This window comes from Homo sapiens, chromosome 15 (genome assembly GCF_000001405.40).
Source record: "Homo sapiens chromosome 15, GRCh38.p14 Primary Assembly".
NCBI lineage: Eukaryota > Metazoa > Chordata > Mammalia > Primates > Hominidae > Homo > Homo sapiens.
This window is the reverse complement of record NC_000015.10, coordinates 80,692,960-80,713,054: the sequence shown is the minus strand read 5'-3', so window position 1 is coordinate 80,713,054 and position 20,095 is coordinate 80,692,960. Positions and strand designations below refer to the sequence as shown.

At 46.3% G+C, this 20,095-nt stretch overlaps 1 protein-coding gene across 1 annotated transcript in view, besides 7 other annotated features; it reads right to left on the bottom strand.

Moving 5' to 3' along the window:
• Positions 1-17,745, bottom strand: part of ABHD17C (abhydrolase domain containing 17C, depalmitoylase) — a 60,312-nt gene extending 42,567 nt beyond the window's left edge. Inside the window, exon 1 of the mRNA NM_021214.2 lies at positions 17,036-17,745. Coding sequence (NP_067037.1) covers positions 17,036-17,625 — 590 coding nt within the window. The 5' untranslated portion in view covers positions 17,626-17,745. The remainder of the gene's footprint in view (positions 1-17,035) is intronic.
• Positions 16,922-16,981: a silencer, noted in NCBI's record as "silent region_6736". NCBI's record gives its function as "represses an Ori minimal core promoter by ATAC-STARR-seq in GM12878 lymphoblastoid cells {active_cell/tissue: GM12878}" and the evidence as "EXISTENCE:reporter gene assay evidence [ECO:0000049][PMID:35858748]".
• Positions 17,142-17,211: an enhancer, noted in NCBI's record as "active region_9944". NCBI's record gives its function as "activates an Ori minimal core promoter by ATAC-STARR-seq in GM12878 lymphoblastoid cells {active_cell/tissue: GM12878}" and the evidence as "EXISTENCE:reporter gene assay evidence [ECO:0000049][PMID:35858748]".
• Positions 17,402-17,451: a silencer, noted in NCBI's record as "silent region_6735". NCBI's record gives its function as "represses an Ori minimal core promoter by ATAC-STARR-seq in GM12878 lymphoblastoid cells {active_cell/tissue: GM12878}" and the evidence as "EXISTENCE:reporter gene assay evidence [ECO:0000049][PMID:35858748]".
• Positions 17,542-17,961: a silencer, noted in NCBI's record as "silent region_6734". NCBI's record gives its function as "represses an Ori minimal core promoter by ATAC-STARR-seq in GM12878 lymphoblastoid cells {active_cell/tissue: GM12878}" and the evidence as "EXISTENCE:reporter gene assay evidence [ECO:0000049][PMID:35858748]".
• Positions 17,982-18,091: a silencer, noted in NCBI's record as "silent region_6733". NCBI's record gives its function as "represses an Ori minimal core promoter by ATAC-STARR-seq in GM12878 lymphoblastoid cells {active_cell/tissue: GM12878}" and the evidence as "EXISTENCE:reporter gene assay evidence [ECO:0000049][PMID:35858748]".
• Positions 18,112-18,271: a silencer, noted in NCBI's record as "silent region_6732". NCBI's record gives its function as "represses an Ori minimal core promoter by ATAC-STARR-seq in GM12878 lymphoblastoid cells {active_cell/tissue: GM12878}" and the evidence as "EXISTENCE:reporter gene assay evidence [ECO:0000049][PMID:35858748]".
• Positions 18,733-19,027: a silencer, noted in NCBI's record as "tiled region #13951; HepG2 Repressive non-DNase unmatched - State 20:ReprD". NCBI's record gives its function as "represses a minimal TATA promoter and a strong SV40 promoter by Sharpr-MPRA in HepG2 cells {active_cell/tissue: HepG2}" and the evidence as "EXISTENCE:reporter gene assay evidence [ECO:0000049][PMID:27701403]".

The window sequence follows — 20,095 nt, the reverse complement described above, 5'->3', positions numbered from 1 at the left end:
TGGAGTGTGAGTGGAACTGTAGATGCTGTAAGAATGGTGGAATGTTAATAGTTGCTGCAGGTGATGAGACCGCCATGGAATTTAGCTTAATATTTTCTGTACATTGTATATAATTTGAGATTTTTCCATTATAAAGTTTTGTTTTGTTTTTAATAAACAACATGGCAAAGTAACAAAAAGACAGCAAATGCACAGGTCTCATGGATCCGAGGAGATGAAGCTGATAGGCAGTCAGTAAAACTATAGATTTAGAAAAAAATTGTTTGAATTCTGCATTTTCATTATCAAGTGACACTTGAAGTATAGGCATATCCTTCAACCATAACAACCACAGTCACTTTTCCCAAGTATTATAAAAACATATTAGAATGAGCTGGCTGTCAATCCACATATGGAGGGCTGTACTACACTGACAGATGGACACACTCCTCCCTAACACACCACAAGAAGAACAAACATTCCCCTTCTCCTCTGAGCACTTCTGTTACACTTCTTGGACCTCACCCATAGACAGGTGAGGCTGCTCTTAAGAAAATAAGCTTTGTCTTCTATACAGAAGTCCAGGCAGTTGAAGGATCGATGGCAGGCTGTTTCCTGGGCCCAGAGGGCTCCTTCTACCCCTCCTTGGCTGGGCTACACATTCACATCCATGCCTAGAGAGGAACCTCAGCAGGAAGCTGGGGCTGAACCAGCCACCTGACTGATGCCTCCATTCCAAGAATCAAAGGAGATGAAGGCCCCACATCCTGAACCTGAAAAGAAAGAGCTCTCAATACAAATCCTACCTCTTACAGTGATTCAACCCAGTCCTTCGACACAAGAACTATTGTACTGGGCTCCGGGTGAGTCTAAAGAGTTAGATACTACCTCTGTCCTCAAGGAGATCACATTCCAACGGAGGAGTCCAGGTACAGTCATCAGTAACCAAAGGACCAGGGGATAAGGGCTAGAACAAAGGCATAATCTTAGAACTATGGGGACAGAGAACGGGAAGTCTGTCTTGCTGGCAAGGAAGAGATATGAATGGTGCAGGAGGGCTAATGGACACCAGCATCTGACGACTGCAGAAAAGCAGGTTAAGAGCAAAGAAAGGCCACGGCATTTTTCTTCCTTCATAAATATACAGGCAGCAGTCTTTCATTCTACCTAGAACTTTTCAAAAAAGAGTTGCAAATGAAGGGACAAGTCCTGAGAAATACAGACTCCAATTGTTTGGTGTGTTAGTTAGTTAGCTTTGCAGTTCTTTAGCAAATGTAAATAAGAGGAAAACTCAAAAATAATACAAGAATGGGTTTCAGAAGATCCAATGCCTGCAAAAGTCCCCAAGAAACTGGTCCCATTTTCAGTTCAGAGAGGAAATACAGGAAAATAGACAGGCAGGAGGCATTATGCAAATTAAAACTGTAATCTTCACCACACTTAATCCTGCCAAAGTAATTATGGTTCTCTCACATTTTACAAATCAAGAAACACTAGTCCACACCGAGTCAGTAGGAGGGTTTTTTTTGGAAATAATCTAGTGGAAGCCAGGCAGCATGCAGTAATGACAAGACCTCTGGCAAAACTGCAGTGCATAGAGCCTCCTATGGGAAATCACCTGCGGGCTGCCTGGGGCTGCTACAGCAAGCATGGAGCTGTCCTGCTGCTCTTCTGGGTGCTGGAAAGAAATCTTGGGGGAAATGAGCGATCACTCTCCAGCCACAGAAAGTGACCAAAGAGCCACAACCCACAAGCTGATGTCACACTCTGATGTCAGGATGCTCTCTCCTACAGAGACCTGTCACTCAGTGATTCATGCGAGCATCCGATCCTCAACACTGGGTTCTTTTAAAGGCCTGGTGGCAACACTGATCAAAGATGCTACGGAGCCAGATGAGCAGAGCGCCTACAGGGTGATTTTGGCACAGAAGCAGAGGTAGGTCCACCCCAGGAAAAACTGCCAATTCTTTCAGGTTTGTTTTTGGCTTAATTGCCTTTCCTTCTCTGAAGGGAGAATTCCCAAATTTATTTCTAGCCCAGACCTCACTCCTGAACTCTAGACTTAAATTCTATTGCTTACTCTACATCTCCACTTAAAGGTCTGATGAGCGCCTACAGCTCAACAATACTCCTGATCTATGCCCTGCCCCACAATCCTGAGCCACTCACAGCCCTCCCCATCTCAATCAACAGCAATTCTGCTGGGCACGGTGGCTCATGCCTGTAATCCCAGCACTTAGGGAGGCAGAGGCAGGGGCAGGAAGATTGCTTGAGCCCAGGAGTTCCAGCCTGGACAACATAGTGAGACCCCATCTCCACAAAAAGAAAAAAGCTAATGAAACTGAAAGAAAAAAAAGAAAAAAAATCAGTCTCAGTTTCTAGTTTTCCTGTTTCTCAAGCCAAAATCCTTGGCGTTATCCTTGACACTCCCCTTCACCACTCTGCATCAGCAAATACTGTTGTTGGTTCCGCCTTTCAAATACATCCAAAATCTCACCACCGCTGTTGCTAACACTCTGGCCCAAGCCACCAGCATCTCTCATCTAAAATACTGCATTTGCATCCTAATTGGTCTCTCACCTTCCTCCCTCGACATATCAGCTCCTCCAATTTGTCATTAACACAGAGTGATCCTTCCAAAACCTAAGTCAAATCATGTCATACCTCTACCCAAAGCCCTCCAATGGCTCCCATTTCCTGCTGTCAAAGCCAAAGTCCCTGCAATGGTCTGCAAGGCCCTATGTGACTAATGCCCTCACCCCTCCCCAGTTACTCCCAGTCCTCATCTCCTACTACTCCTCTTACCCCTGCACCCCTTACTTGCCCTGCTCTAGCCCCCCGCTGGCTTCCTTGATGATCTCTACATCTGCCAACCATGCCCCATCTTAGGACCCTGGTCCCTCAGCCCATTTCTGCACATAGCTAACCCCTCACTGCTTGGGGCCATGTGTCAGTCTCTGAATGAAGCATACCCTAATCATCCTTTAAAAGTTGCAGCCAACCCATCCATTCTCTAGTACTCCAATGCCCTTGCCCTGTTCTATGTTTTCCTCTAGCACTTATCATATTTGAATAATAAACTATCATTCACATACTCATTATGATTACTGTTTTTCATGGGCACTTATGAAACAAAGCTTCACAAGAGCAGGGGTTTTGCTTGTTTTGTTCTGGAAGAAAGCCTGGCCCACAGTGGACACTTAATATGTTTGTTAAACAGGCAGATCCAACAGGATATTAGGTGTGTCAGAAAGGAGTATTTCAGAATTCAAAATCCTGGAAGCAAAGCATTCCAGGTGATCACGAGGTACAAGGTGTGGCCACAGGTGTGGGCTGCTGCAGAGTGGTGCAGGGTGGAGGAGGAGAACAATGAGGGAGAGGCCGGGAAGTGTGAGGCGGGGCTGCTGAACAGGCTCTCAACAGCCCAGGATATTCACACTACACGGGATGAAAGCAGGAGATCCAGGGGTAAAGAAAATGGTGATCCAGATGTGCGAGTCTTCGAGGAGTATGCAACTATATCCTGGAGGCCAACAACAGCTACCAATAGCTTTTTCATGTGTGTGTTTTTTTGTTTTTTTTTTTTTGAGACAGAGTCTCGCTTTGTTGCCCAGGCTGAAGTGCAGTGGCGTAATCCCAGCTCACTGCAATCTCTGCCTCCTGGGTTCAAGTGATTCTCATGCCTCAGCCTCCCAAGTAGCTGGGACTACAGGTGTGCACTACGACACCTGGCTAATTTTTGTACTTTGGGTAGAGATGGGGTATCACCATGTTGGCCAGGTTGGTCTCAAACTCCTGACCTCAAGTGGTCTGTCCGCCTCGGCCTCCCAAAGTGCTGGGATTATAGGCGTGAGCCACTACGCCAGGCCCCAATAGCTTTTTTTTAAAAAACTATATATTTATATTTACAATATATACATATATTTATAAAAGTATATATTTACTGCTTAAAAAATGTTGAAACCCCTGGTATGATACAAACTGCAAGTTGCCCAGTGACTATTACTGCTCCGGCAAAGGAGATTCAGCAAAGGAGATTCGCAGAAACTTCCCAGGAGCAGGTAATATTGTACAAGCATGGTCACTATGTGGGGTCTCCAACTGCCTCCCTCAGGAACTTCATGTCCCCAGGTTCCTAAAATACAGACAACTCACCCTCCCTTGCAGGCCTGCGGGTTTAAAATGATTGCATCTGGGCCTGCTCCACAACTATTCTCTCAGAGTCTTTGAGGACGGGGTCTGGCATCTATTTTAACAAGGCCTCCCAGTAATTCTTACACTAAAGTTTGTGAACTCTGTTATTACCAACTTACCTGTTTATTTACTCAACCAATATCCGATGAGTACCCATTACCCGCCAGGCTGCACTGGTCCAGGTGCCTGATAGGAAGGAGTGAGTGAAGCTGACCACGCAGAGTTAAGCCTGCCCCCTGTACTGGAGTATTCAGGCTTAACTCACAAAACATATGTACCATTCACTCCTATAATCCCAGCACTTTCGGAGGCTGAGGCGGGAGGATTGCTTGAGCTTAGGAGTTCGAGACCAGTCTGGCCAACATGGCGAAAACACTGTCTCTACTAAAAATACAAAAATTAGCTGGGCGTGGTGGCACATGCCTGTGATCCCAGCTATTTGGGAGGCTGAGGCATGAGAATCACTTGAACCTAGGAGGCAGAGGCTGCAGTGAGCTGAGATCATGCCACTGTACTCCAGCCTGGGCGACAGAGCAAGACTCTGTCTGGAAAAACAAACAAAACAAAACAAAACAAAACAAAACAAAAAAATAGAGAAGAATGTGAGGTGGGGAGAACGGGCTAGTGTAGTAATTCCGGGACAAGCTATCAAGAGCCTAGAATAAAGAAAGAAGGAGAAGGAAAAGATGGAAAACAGAGGAAATAGTAATAGAAACGTGTGGCTGACCAGATATTCAGATGAAGAAGAGAAAGGGACCACAGAGGACTCTGTGACTTGGAGCCTGGATAAAAGGAAGAGAGTGACAGGGGCATGAAGAGCTGCGCTGACAGTGCCCGGGGCCCAGGTGTGGAAGGACTGTCCCGTGGCCGCAGCCAGAGGCAGCTGGAACCCTTGCACTGCAAGCTCCCACTGAGCTTCAGGGATGGAAACAGGAATTGGAAACCATTTATATTTTTAGTTTAATACCTTCTTAGCCTTTTTAGGGTTTTCTTGGAATTTTTAGTAGGAAAAACTAATTTATTCCAATTAAATATATGATGGTATTGGGGCTCAAAAATGGATATCCCCAAATACAGTACTTTGACACGCCGAGCTGTAGAAGCCTCAGGAAGCCTCTCTGCCCCTCCCCACCAAAACCCTGACCCTCCCAAACCACAGCATGAAGTTGTTCTCTAAAGTTCCCTTATCTGCCTTAAGTCCAGATTAAGCTTGTCCAACCCTCGGCCCAGGATGGCTTTGGATGGTGTGGCCCAACACAAATTCGTAAACTTTCTTAAAACATTGTGAGATTTTTTGCGTTTTTTTTTTTGAGGGGGGGCTCATCAGCTATTGCTAGTATTAGTATATTTCATGTGTGGCCCAAGACAATTCTTCTTCCAATGTGGCCCAGGGAAGCCAAAAGATTGGACAGCTCTGATCTAGATCCACCAAAGAAGAAAACAATTACTTCTGGTGCCTTCTGTAAGTTTTCATTAACTGAACTCCTACTGCAGGAAGAAAGACTGCAGTATGTCAACACACCTAGACAGACTTTTGTCACAAACCACTGTCTGCCCTGCAGATCCAACAGACTTTATCTCAGGCCACTGTATGTTCTTCAAGTCCATTGAATTCCCCTAAAAATCATTTCCATCCCTCTAAAATCATCCACACTTTCCCATTTCCCTTTCCCCTAAGAAGTAGATATATAAGAATATGCACCCCATTGGGATACTGGGTATTCTGTAATTTTTCTCCTGTGCACACAGATAAATTTATATGCCATTTCTCCTATTAATCTGCTTTTTATCAAGTGATTTTTCAGCAGACCTTCTGCGCACAAAGAAGTTTTCCCTTGGCCTTTACAATGGCATGTTCATTTTTTAACGAACTTATTTTATCCAGTCTTCTTGTATACTATAAAACATGCTTCAAAGTGATTAGCATGCGAATTGTCCTTTCCTAATAGTTACATTAAAATTAAAATAGTATAAAGTTTACATGTTATAAGGACAACAGTGATAGTTAAACATCACGACAACAATCAAAACTGGAGAAACTGAAATACCCTTGAGTTATTTATGACAATAGGGATAAATAAAATTATTTAAGTGAGATCAGCAGACAAAATTCTTGTTCTAGTATCACAGACCTTTGCAGTCCATATAATCATCACTGCACAGGGTTTAGTTATGTCCATGACAGTCTCCAAAAACAGTCTGAGATTAGGTAAGAATTCTCATCTGATTATCAATCATAATCTCAGAGATTTTAGCTAGTAGATTTATACTTAACATCTGGAAACTCACTTTTTGTGGATATATTCTGAACACAGGCTCCTTTACATTTTTCCCCCAAAATAACTGCCCAGATTTCACTGTAACCATTAAAACATGTAAAGTGAAGGAGCAAACTAATCATCAGTACTGGCGGTTCTCTACGCTCGTTTTTCCTTTGGAAATTTAAACAGTACTCTGTTAACAAGTAAGCTTGAGGTTAGGCTCCTCTCAGCAATTCAGCAAGTAATTGACGTACAACCGTTAACTATCCGTCTGAGCATTGAATCTGAATGACCTCGACTTCCTGGAAAACAGAGGTTTCCAATTTCACCATGGAGCCATGGTCCTTTAACACTCTAAAGTGAATCAATAACGTGGGAGTTATCAATGAGCTCCATTACACAGAGCTGTGAAAAAGCCACATGAATCTGAGGTACAAGGCATTATGGGAGCATTCATATTTTAAAAGGAAGCTTGCTGTTCAGGTCCCCTGGCCAACTAGGAAAAGGGAAGGTTAACTCTATTAAGGATCGTCTCATAAGTAAAGAGCAACCAGAACATCTTGAATGGTGCACACAATACAGGCTTTTGCCTTCTGGTCCTTGCCATCCCTAACTCTGCTCAGAGAAGTCTCTGATTCCTGCCCAGCTCCAAAAAGTGCAAAGTGGAGGGGCAAACCAGGAATGGTTTGCAAAGTAACTGCAGGTGTTGGATTACAGGTAGGGTTTCCTCTCCTTTAAAGATCTCCCTTGGGCATATAAACACCTAGGTAGATGAAATGCTATCAGATTTAAAATACTAATGCATACCACTCTCCAAAGCTCTTGAGGCCATAAGCAACAATTCCAAAGAGACTTCCCCCTTAGCTACAAATAAAACTAAAACACCTTTACCGTTCCTCCACTTCCACATCCACCAAGCTAGGCTTGACCTGGGTATTTGTATCTATACACAGTGGGAAAAGAAGCAACTTCTTTAACACTCCTTCTGATTTAAGCACCTAGTTTTCAGCATGATCTGAGCATTTGGTTATTATAGCTCTAAAAATGTTATCAATAATCCTAAACAATACCATCCTCTTACTATGTGGAAAGCACTGTGTTAAGCAACTGACAAGGTGGTTGCAGCTATGGTAACCATCATCATTATTTTAACTGAGGCTCAAAATGGTAGAAAACTTGCCTGAGGTCAAGCAGCTAATCACAGGCAGGACCTAAAATCAGGTCTGTTGAACTCTAAAATATATGCTCCTAACCACACACACACACACACACACACACACACACACAAATCATAGGAAGCTCAGAACTGCAGGGAACATTTCTCCCCAGGTTACCCTTGAGACAACCTTGCCCATGTGACTCTGACATAAGAGCCAGAATCAGTTCCGGTTGTAAACCCTCCAAATGAAGAATTAAATCATTAAACCATTTCACGCCAGGAACCTCCAACCCAAGCCACACAGAAGTCCACTGGCACCATCAAGTTTTGGCCATCTTCCCTCTCTTGCCTCTTTTCTCCTGCCTTCTTCACCTGATGCCTGGGCTGACCTCCACTGCCCCACAGGCTGTTCAGAATTATGTCCACACCACAGATCACTTCTCATCAGCAGTCCCATAGCCCAACGGTGGATGGTGTGTCAGCTGCAGGACAGGAGACAGCAGAGTCAACAAAAGGGAACAGACCTATTTTTCCATAGCCTTTCACTTTCAGGCTTGCAATGGGCACCCACACACACGTGGTCTCAAAAAGGCAATGACGTCACCACTCTACTGACCTGGTTTAAGGAATTAATTGTAGTCTATTCTTCAAGGTCGATGCTCTCTTGTCAGACTGAGCTCTGTGTCACACAGGGAGCTCAGTGGAGAGCAGTGACGATTCCATGCAACCCTCCATCCACAACTAGAGGAGGGGCAGAAGCCTGACTCAGGAGGCACAGAAGTGACAGCATCCTGGGGTGTCCACATGCTCACCCAGCCACAGGCCCCTTCTCTCAGGACTGCGCCCTCCTGCAGGCTCCAAGGAGGTGGCTGCATTTCTTTTCTTTTCTTTTTTTTTGCCGTATGTATTTATTATTATTATTATTATCCTTTAAGTTTTACAGTACATGTGCACAATGTGCAGGTTAGTTACATATGTTACACACGCGCCATGCAGCCCTCACTAACCCGGGGGTACAACCAGGTGAAGCAAGGATGGGAACTTAGCATGAAGGAGCCCAGCTCCAGGCAGCCAGGTCAGAACAAGGCTAGGTGGGGTGGGCCACAGTGATGTGCAGCGAGTGTGAATGAGGGAAAAGGCTTGAGTGTAGAAAGAGCAATGGGACAGGCATGTGGACAGGAGATGAGAGGAGCCAACCCCAGAGAGAGGCAGCTGGAGAGAGAGGAACAGGGCAGGAGCTTCAGGCTCCCTGGAATCTCACAAATACGAATGTGGTTTCTTTTCAACCACTACCCCTTCATATGGTTTACTCTAGTGGGTTCCTGGCCACCAGAGATCTTTATCTGAAACCATCTATAGCACTCTCCCCTCATCCACTGCTTTGCTTTCTGCAGTTTCAGCTATCCACGGTACAGAACAAGATACTCTGTGAGAGAGAAATCACATTCACTTAACTTTCATTATAGTATATTGGCACAATTGTTCTATTTTATTATTACCTGTTACTGATAATCTCTTACTGTGCCTACTTTGTAAATTAAACTTTATTGTAGATAGGTATGTATAGGAAAAAACATAATGTAAACCAGATTTGGTACTCTCCAAGGCTCAGGCATCCACTGGGGGTCTTGGAATGTATCCCCCACCAGGTAAGGGGGGATAGCTGTATATAAATGTATAAAAAATCTTTTCTAACATTCCATTTTTTTCAACTCTTAACAAATTATAATTGGGGCTGATCTTAATATACTCACTGGCTCTTGGACATTTCTAGGCTAGTGTGTCTCAACTCTGGCTGTGTGTGTGCACACACGCACACTCATATACATAGACTGCACACTTAAAAAAAATCTACCTAGGAGATTCTAAAGTACAGCTAAGGTGGAGATCCACTGTACCAGAATGAATCCACCGTATTTCCCAGTGTAGTTAAGAAAAAGCAAATTCAAAAACATTAGGTGGTTTCCCTAAAAGTCACAAAACACAGACTTACCAGAAGACACCTCAGAAGCCATACAGTTGGATCACAATTCACTGGTCCAGGTTTCAAACAGTGGAATGTGAAGCCCAGAAGTGTGAAGTGTCTTGTTTAAGGGGGCTGCTATGGTTTGAATGCCTGTGCCCTCTCAAACTGATGTTGAAATGTAATTGCCATGGTAACTGGATTAAGAAGTGGGACCCTTAACGGGTGATCAGGCCATGTGGGCTCCATTCTTATGCCTTATCTCAGAGAAGCTTCTTTATCAAAGAGGGAGTCTGCGCCTCTCTCCCCTCCTTCGCTTGCCCTTTGGCTTTTCTGGAGGAAAGCTTTGAGCAAGAGCCTTCCTCCCGCCTTTGGTTCAAGAAGCCAGCCAGGAAGCAGAGCAGTCATCATCGGACACCAAACATGCAAGTGCCTCGATCTTGCATTTCCCAGCCTCCAGAAATTGGGAAAGAAACCTCTTTCTTTATAAACTATCCAGTCGCAGATCTTCTGTTACAGCTGCACAAAACTGACATAGTGAATTAGTGGGAGTGCTAGAGTCAGAACTGATTTTTCTACTCTAAAAGGTTTTGTTTGTCTTTTTTGAATCACATCTTTTAGATGAAATTAGAAAGCCTATTATTTAAAGCAGCCCTAACAAAAAAAAAGCACTCTGTTATCCAAATAATAATCTCCTAACTGTATATGTTGAGACTCTGGATTCCTGTACACAGGCTTCTTAAAGTAGAGCAGATTTATAGTTTCAACACGAGCCTAAGCAAAATCCAGTACAGAGGGTAAAGCTGCTATCAAAATGAACACTGCAATTCCTAAAGCCAGATTTTGGAGTCTTATATGGGATTATCAACACTGAAGAGAGTTGTTACTAAATTTGGAGACAGAGTGAGGAATAGAAGCAGTAATATAAGGTAGGGAATGACCTTAAAGGGAAACTCTAAGTAATCTCAGGACTGTATGATTTAAGTGACTTCTGCAGGGGAAAAAAATGCTTTCTACACCAATATGACATGGCATTATTAGAATTTTAAGACTTGATTTTGGTTTTTGGAGACAGGTTCTTGTTATGTTGCCCGGGCTGGTCTCAAACTCCTGGGCTCAGAGACTACAGGCATGAGCCACCATGCCCAGCTAATTTATTTTTTGTAGAGACAAGGTCTCACTATGTTGCCCAGGCTGGTCTGAGACTCCTGGGCTCAAGCAATCCTCCCACCTCAGCCTCCCAGTAACTGAGACTACAGGGAGGTCTCAGTGAGGCTGTGTCACCGTGCCTGACCTAAGACTGAATTTTAGAGAAGACTGAGCCTCTAAGAGTGCACTAAATGAAAACAACTGTGCTCGGAAGAGAACACATTAAGGAGTTATTGCCCATTAACACAGAAAATGAAGTCATCTGTCAGATCCTTTGCAACTGGATTACTGGAGAAAAGCAAGGCCCCTCAAAACAGAACCACGGGTAAGTAAATTGTGGCAAGAGGAGAGTGAGAGCTCAGCTTCTGGTACTGATAAAGAGAGAAAACCTGCCGAACCACACGGTGAGGCAAGCCGGAAGAGCCAGGTATGACAAAAGAGCACTTGGAAACAGGCTGAAGGTGGACCAAAGAGAAGGGCTCTGAGTGGATCCCCAAAACGGACTATGCCTACTTCAATTTCAACAGGTCTGTTCTTAAGAGTTACATTCTTCCTGTTCACATACTGGCTGCCTTGAATTGCAAGCCAACATTCTATTTCCTTTGTAGAAATATCATTGTGCTTTCCCCTTATGTCAAACAGTATTCATAACATTTGTTTTTTTTTTTTTTGAGATGGAGTCTCGCTCTGTCGCCCAGGCTGGAGTGCAGTGGCATAATCTTGGCTCACTGCAACCTCTGCCTCCCGGGTTCAAGCCATTCTCATGCCTCGGCCTCTTGAGTAGGTGGGATTATAGGTGCCTGCCACCACGACCAGCTAATTTGTGTATTTTTAGTAGAGATGGGGTTTCACCATGTTGGCCAGGCTAGTCTCAAACTCCTGACCTCAAATGATCCGCCCGTCTCAGCCTCCCAAAGTGCTGGGATTACAGCTGTGAGCCACCGCGGCCGACATATTTCTGTTTTTCTGTTCCCTAATCAGTCAAACTCAAGCAGAAACTCTAAGCTTTCTTCCCTTAGTGGCATCATAGTATTCCCTCTGAGAACACTGAGAACAAAGAAGTTAGGTTATTAACTTCAACATGCCCAGGAAAGTAACTTGCTACTGGAGGAGAATTCCACCCTGAGACTGCTGGCTGTGAACACCATTCACAACCAACAGAAGGTGTTTTTCAAGGGTCCCACGACCTGAGAGGATGCCACTACAGCTTTGCTGTGACATGGATTTTCCAATTATGGATCCTGTGAATCACCGACACAAAAGTTATAAAACAGCAAATCATAGTTACGTATTCAAAATGCCTCTGAAATCTATCCATCCTTTTACAACAAAAAGAAACAGCTTGGGATTAACGATACTTCAAGAGTACGTAGTACACGGTCTGGCACAAGCAGAGCATAAATAAATGTGTGTTTAACAGTTTGGGGTTTTTTGTTTGTTTTGTTTTTTGAGACAGGATCTCACTCTGTTGCCCAGGCTAGAGAGCAGTGGCGCAATCACAGCTCACTGCAGTCTCAAACTTTGGGGCTCAGACGATCCTCCCACCTCAGCCTCCTGGGTAGCTGGAACTACAGGCACACACCACCACACCTGGCTACTTTTAAAAATTTTTTGTAGAGATGGGGGTCCCAACTATGTTGCCCAGGCTGGTCTTGAACTCCTGGGCTCAAGTGATCCTCCTGCCTAGGCCTCCCAAATTGCTGGGTTTACAGGTATGAGCCGCCACACCCAGCCTATGTTTAATGGTTTACTGGTCAAATGAAGGAATAAATGAAATATTAAGTCTTTTGTAATTTGCCTTTTGTACTAAAGGCACTGAAGAGTCTTATTTATCTTCTTCCCTCTGCATCTGCTTTCTCTGACTGTATCAACGTTTCTCTGCCCACATTACCAAACGCCTCTCTCCTCCACAGCTTTTGTCACCAGCATCAAAAAGAAGCATCAAAGACGACTTCTGTGGATGGCATCAGCAGACACCTAAGTTACAAATGTCCAAACAGGAGAGTCCCACTCTCCTGTTCCTCCAGATTAAAATATTTCAGCTAAAATACTCTGCCTCCTTTACACCTCATTCTTCGGGCTATTTGCTTGTTTGGGTTTATAGTTTCAAATCAGTCTGATTCACTGTCTCTTGAGTCATGGTGCCACTTGTGCACACACAGTCTAAAACTGTTCAGCCCTAAGAGGATCCCCTGGAAGGATGTGTGTTGAGGAGGCTGAATCTGCCTACTCCCACCTTAACCAATAGGCAGCCATTCCTGCACAGATTAATCACTTTACTTCCCCAACTCAAGTGACAACAATACACTCCAATAAGGTGACCCTGATTTTCAGTGTCTTTTCCACAGATATGTCTAAGTGATTTCAATTCATTCCCTCACTTGTTTGTATTCACAACATACTTATATTTCTTACCAGTAATGCAAACGTAAAACAAGTTTTGATCTTGGGGCTCTCCATCATGCTCAATGAGCTCTCCTCATTGTTCATGCCACTCTTCCTGGCTCCTTCAAACCCTGCCTCTCCGCTACACTCTTTTCAGTAACTTTTCAAGAGTTTAAAATAATCATCTATTGGCCAAACGGCAACAACCACCTTTCTTACCAAATCTACTTCCTCCTGAAACCCTTACTCTGGATTACGTGCCCACCTTAATACTCATCATCTGGGGGGATTCACTGTCTTTATCCATGCATGAGGGGTCTGCACACTGGTAGTATTTACATCTGTTTCAAGGGCTGGACAGCTCACTCTAGCATGCGCAGGAGCTGGCACAAATAGGTAATGGATAAAAGATGTAGAGACATACAAAGGATGGGTTAGTATTGTTCTTCTCTTCAATACAGACATTTCAGTGTCACAAGAACACCAATACAATGAATACAAAGTGGATGAGGCCTCAAGCCAATACATCTGGCCCTTTTTTTTTTGTCTATGGTTGTACCCATGGATATTAAACCCCGAAGATAAAATAAGATCCAAGTACTTGTAAGAGTCCAACTTAGGAAAAATTAACTTTACCCCACTTATTTATGGGGCGCCCATTATGTGCAATTCGTTCAACAAATACCAATGACTACCTATTATTTTAAGACATTTTGCCAACTGTCAGGAATAGAGAAGACATAGTGTCCCTGCCCTCAGAGATCTTCCAATTTAGTGGAGATACAGTTAAATAACAGATACAGCAACACTGTGATAACTCAAGCAAAGGGGCTGAGTACCAGGTGCACAGGGAACACAAAGGGTCTCCTAATCCAATTAAGATCCAGTCAGGATCCATTGTTCCTAGCACAGGAGAAGGGCAGATACAAAAGACGATGTGAGCAGAAGAGTGGGGCAAAGTCCTGAGTGTGGGGCTTTGGGGCCTGCAGGGCACTGCACCTTACAGTCCTCCTGGGGGAATAATCTAAGTACAGAGATGAAGATGACTCAGAACAAGGCAAGCTCTCCAATCAGTGTCCTGGGGAGTGTGGTTAACTAGGAGGGCAGGAAAGATAAAGATTCCCAAAGAAGACATGGGGGATGGCTGGTGGAAAACAGAGTCTGACCCAGTAACAGAAGAATGGACACATGGGATGGAAGGCATTCCTGCCATGGCACTGACATGAATTAAGCTGTAAAAGAAGAGAGAATAGCATAAGAACTTGCTCCAGGCAAGTAAGAGCAGAAGAACCATACTGAACAGCAAGAGGAAAGTGGTTGAGGGGCTGATTGGCTTCAGAATTAGGTAACTCTTATGTCAGCAGAATAACCAAGACACACAAATGCACCTCCTGAAGAATCTGATAAATATGCTTACCGTGGCAATGGTGCCCTCGCAAGAGTACTAAACTGGTAGTCAAGAGACCTACTGCTGATTTGCCGCCAGTCTATCCTCCTGTCAGATGAGCTGGGTGAACGTGTGCAGTGTCCATACATGAGTTGGGAAATAAATTTAGCAATTCACAACCATCTTTTTTTTTCTTTTTTATAAAAGTGAAATAGGCCAGGCGCGGTGGCTCACGCCTGTAATCCCAGCACTTTGGGAGTCCCAGGTGGGCGGATTATGAGGTCAGGAGGTCGAGACCATCCTGGCTAACACGGTGAAACCCCGTCTCTACTAAAAATACAAAAAATTAGCCGGACGCGGTGGCGGGCGCCTGTAGTCCCAGCTACTCGGGAGGCTGAGGTAGGAGAATGGCGTGAACCCGGGAGGTGGAGCTTACAGTGAGCCAAGATGGCGCCACTGCACTCCAGCCTGGGCGACAGAGCAAGACTCCGTCTCAAAAAAAAAAAAAAAAAAAAAGTGAAATAAAACAACATATTCTGCTATGTGTGCTGCCCATAGAAAAATTACTGTTTTGTGAAGCATTGGCTTCAGGTATGTGGATACAGACGTGTATGTGTGCTTGATCAAAACGTAAAATGTGTTTCTTACTGTGAGGTTACAGTCAAAACAGTTTGAAAAGCACAAGACATGAGGATCTATAAGGTTCCTTCAAATTCTAAGCTTCGCATGCAGCCTTCAAATTCTAACCTTTTTTACAGGTGAATAAATTAACTTAGATATGAGTTCTGGTATAACATTAAATAAATCATGGGCAATCTTTAGACATACCATCAGATAATTCAAAGTTATCCGAAACAATTACCCTTAATTCAACTGATACACTATCAGATAATTCAACATTATCCAAAACAACGCCCCTTAATTCAACTAAATATGACCAAAAAAAAAAAAGTTTCCAGGAAATAACTACACTCCACGTAAGCTGTAACACAGACACACCTGTATATTTGGGGCAAAGGGTGAGCCATGTGAAAGGCTTTCATTGTAATGTGGACATGCACACACAGAAGCAATGTTCTATGGAAACTCTTCAATTAAAAAATCTACTCAAGGTAGGATTTTCATGTTTCAAATTTTAAAGATCTAATGCCAACCTTATTTTTAATACCTTTGCCAACAGCAAATTCTAGCAAGCTATAGACTGTGTGTGACACATACTTTTGAAACCCTTTACTGGAACAGGTGGCTTTTAACTACTTACAGACTCTGACCCAATGCATCTGCATATGATACATTCTCATCTGCCTAAGCCACTTTCGAAAAGCTATAATCCCAATGAGGGCATCCCCTTCAGGACTTCAGGAGGGCATAAACATGCAACATAGAGCAAATATTAAGTACTTCCCTGTTGGACAAGCCATTTTCCCAGACAGGCAAGGAGTCACTTAGGAACATATGCGTGAGTACGAATGAAAAAAAAAAATCATTAACGTTGGTGATGTGCATAAGCAAACAGGTTTTAGATAAAAACTATAGAAGGGTCCATGGCGACAATAATGCCCGGTGTACTTCCTCTGGGGACTCTTTCATCTGAAGAAATCAAATCTCATCATAGACATGGCCTCAGGTTATTTTCACCATCACTGCTATGAGGCAGGTCGGAAAGGTCACAGATACCCAAACTGGAGCACAAACAGGTAACCTGACCTGCACATGTATAAGACTTTTGTCTAATAGTGAATAAAAGTCAGGTTTTTGGTTTGCTTGTTATAAAACAACCAGGTCTAACCCCTAAACCATGCCCCCAGTTTGTGCCTGGCTCACAGATGGCCCACCCTAAACACTTTTCAGTCCTTCTGTGAATGCTAATTTAAGGTCAGAGATTTCCCAGCCCCTGCAAGTTTCAAACTTATCCTGGACTGTTATGGAGGCCGTGTGGAAGGTGCCAGGCCCACAGCTACCAGCTAACTTCCTGCCCCACAGTGCCACTACTTTGCCCCACCAGGAGGCAAACTCCCCGCTCCACCTGACGCTCCAGCTGTTTCCAAGGTTGCCCAGACATTGTCCTGCCCGCACTTTACAACCAGAAAGTCTTTTAGAGGCCATCCTGTCTCGCCCACTGACTTTACAGGGAAGGAAACTGAGTCTAGAAACCCATGTGCCTTGCCCAAGGTCACTTCAGCTCGTACAAACGAAACTCGAACCAAGTTGTTTCTTTCTGCCCGGTACTTAAGCACCCACACTCTGCCACTCGCGGTGACCGGAGCCACAAAAGACCCAGCCGGTGGGCCGGCGACACACAGGCGAGCCAAAGCAGGCAAAATTCTCTGAGTCCGAGCTCTCCAGGAACCTGAAGGCTGGCGCGGTTTTTGGAGAGGGTGGGAGCAAGCCAGGGTGGGACAAGAAAAGCGAATTTACGGCGGCCAAGGGGCTCTCCGCTGGCCCTCAGCCCCGGAGGAGGGGCCCCTCTCCTGGCAGGCCGCCCCAGGGGCCCCAAGAGACCCCCACCCCGCCTCCCCACAGCTGGAAGTCAGGCCTGGCGACCCCGGCAGGCTCACCGGGTGCGCAGCGCCTGCCACGCGGCGTCGATGTCGGCGTAGAGGTTCTTCTCGGAGGGCTTGCCCGAGCTGACGCCGTATCCCGAGTAGTCGTAGGAGAAGATGTTGCAGTTGATGCGGGAGCCGAGGCCAATGTAGAAGCTGCACATCTGGCCCAGGTCCACGGCGTTGCCGTGCGAGAAGAGCAGCGTGTAGCGGCTGGAGGGCGCGCAGCGCACGAACATGCAGCCGAGCCGGTTGTCCCGGGCCGTGCGCGAGAAGAAGACCTCGACGGCGTCCAGCTCGCGCTGCGAGTACTGCCAGTCGGCGCGCTCGCTGAGGTGCAGGCTGCACGCACCGGGCCCCGCGCCCGCGCCCTCCTCGGGCTGCTGCGGTGCCGGCTGGGCCGCGGCGGCGGCGGCGGTAGCCTGGGCCGGGGCCGGGGCGGACGCGCCGGCGCCGCGCTGCTCCGGCGCCAGCACCGTGTAGGTGGGCTCGGGCGGCAGGAAGGCCAGCTTGGCGGCGATGCGGCTCGGGCAGGGCGGGCAGCAGAAGAGCCAGCACAGCTCACCCAGCGAGAAGCCGTTCATCCTGGGGCCTGGCTCGGGCATCGGGACGGCCTGGTGCCCGCCGCCGGCCCGGCTGGCTGGCTGGCTGGCTGGCCCGGGAGGACGGAGGACGGACGCGCGGCGAGGGAGCTGGCAGGCGAGCGCGGAGGGCGGCTGCAGCCCGCCCGCCCGGCGGCAGGAGGAGGCGGAGGCGGAGGAGGGCAGGAGGCGGGGCCGGCCCGGCGGGCGCGGCGCTCGGAGCCCGGGCGGGTCAGCGGCGGCCCCGGAACCCAGGCGAGGCGCGGGCGGCCCGGGCCCGCGCGCGGCACACAAAGCCGGCGGCGGCGTCCATGGCCGGCTCGTGCGCGCCGCCCCCCGCTCCCGTTCCCGCTCCCGCACGCCCGCCGCCGCCGCCGCCGCCGCCGCCACTTCCGGGTTACCGCGCGGCGGCGCCGCCGCTGGGACGCGGCGCAGAGCCGGGCATCGGGGCGGGGCGCTGCGGGCAAGGGCGCGGGCACCTTCCCCGGCCTGGGAAGCACCTTCTCGACCTGCGGCCGACGGGGGCTTCCAGGCGGCTCCGGGGCCCGGAGAAGCTGGGTGCCGGGGCTGGGGGCTCTGCGCCCGGACAGCTGGGCCGATCTGCAGAGGGGACCCTGGAGGGGGTGCATGTGTCCCGGGGTGGACCGCTCCCCTCCCCTCCCCCTGGGATTCCCTCCCCCAAATCCAGGTTTCTCCCGTGGATGGAGGTTCTTGGGAGTCTACTGAAAAGGAAACTAAGGGGTGGACAAGAGTTGGAATGTGCCCGAAATATTTGGCTCTCGTGTGTGCTGCTTTCTGAACTGGCTCAGTACCAAAAGTTCTCAGCACCGTAAGGGGTACCGGGGTTGTGGGATAGGGTGGTCATCAGTGTGTTTCTTATTAGGAGAGGCTGTTTCTGTATAGGTAGCAACAGCGTTTCCTTTCTAAGGGCATGGTTTTACCCTTAGTACATTTCTGTATCTATAAAAGTCAGCTGTTAGAACAGGAGGGTACTGTATTTAGCAACAAACCATGTTGAGGTTGTCATTTCTAATCCCACGTGTGGCAGATTTTCCGGTAGTAAGTATATACTAGGTATCGTTTACAGTGTTTGTGTCTCTAGAGTTGTTTTGGGTCCAGGATTTTTCAGTGGTCTTAGTCATGAACGATTCTTATACTGCTTTAAATCTACTGTAATCTTGGCAGCCACCTTTACATGATTTTTCAAATATAACTCTCGGTGCCTTGAAACTGTGCTCTGGTGCCAGTTTCCACAGAGCCTTCTATACTTCCTTTTTCCCGCCTGATTTGGCAGCTGAAGAATTCCCTTTCAGGAACTGACAGGAGATACCCTTCCTGGACTGCCAGCAGGGCAGCTAGAGACTGGGAGGTTGGCACAATCCCTACGCTGGGTCTGTTGTTTTAACTCACAGATGTCCTGAGAATTTTACCTTTCGTTGTGACTTTCCACAGGACGAATATTTTGAGCACCGTCATCTAAATGAATTGCCGATACTGATTTCATTAACCTTCAGGACCTCGCTTTTAATTTTTTCTTTTTTAAGAGACAGGGTCTTACTGTATTGTCCAGGCTGGACTCCCAACTCCTGGGCTCAAATGACCCTCCGGCCTGCCTCCCAAGTAGCTAGGACTACCGGCACATGCCACCTTGCCCAGCTAGGACCTGGGTTTTAAAAGGCCATTTCTTCACTAAAACAATTTTACTTGTTTTTGAACTATTCAAACTTGATTTTTAAAAACCTGGTAACAAAGCCTGTCCAGATTGCATATTTGAAGTCTGTTTTGAAGGTTTTCACACTTGGTGAAACTCTTCACATAAAGCCCAATTCTAGCTTTGCAGGTTTGCATTTCCTTTTTTTTTTTTTTTTTTTTAAAAAAAGAATTTTTCTGCGAAAATCCTTTAAAAAGAAAAAAAAGCTTTATACAGCTGGGCACAGTGACTCACGCCTGTAATCCCACCACTTTGGGAGGCTGAGGAGGGTGGATCACTTCAAGTCAGAAGTTCAAGACCAGCCTGGCCAACATAATGAAACTCCGTCTCTACTGAAAATACAAAAATTAGCCGGCCATGGTGGCGTGCACCTACAATCCCGGCTACTCAGGAGGCTGAGGCACGAGAATCACTTGAAGCTAGGAGGCAGAGGTTACGGTGAGCCGAGATCATGCCACTGCACTCCAGCCTGGGTGACAGAGTGAGACTATGTCTCAAAAAAATAAAAAGGCTTTCTAACTTGCTACACATTGGTATACTTTGGTCACTTTATTGTATTCAGCATTTATGTATGTAATGTTTTTTGTGCTCACAGCATCCACTGTGTTAGGTGCTACAGCTACCAAGGTGAGTAAGATAGTCCCTGCTCTCAGATACCTTACAGTCTAATTAGGGCATCAGCAGAAGATTCAAAACAGTTTTTATGTGCCTTTAAAAAAAATCAAGTCCTCATAAAAGCTAAGAAGATGGTCTTGCGTCCTGATTCAGTGGTGATATTTCTAT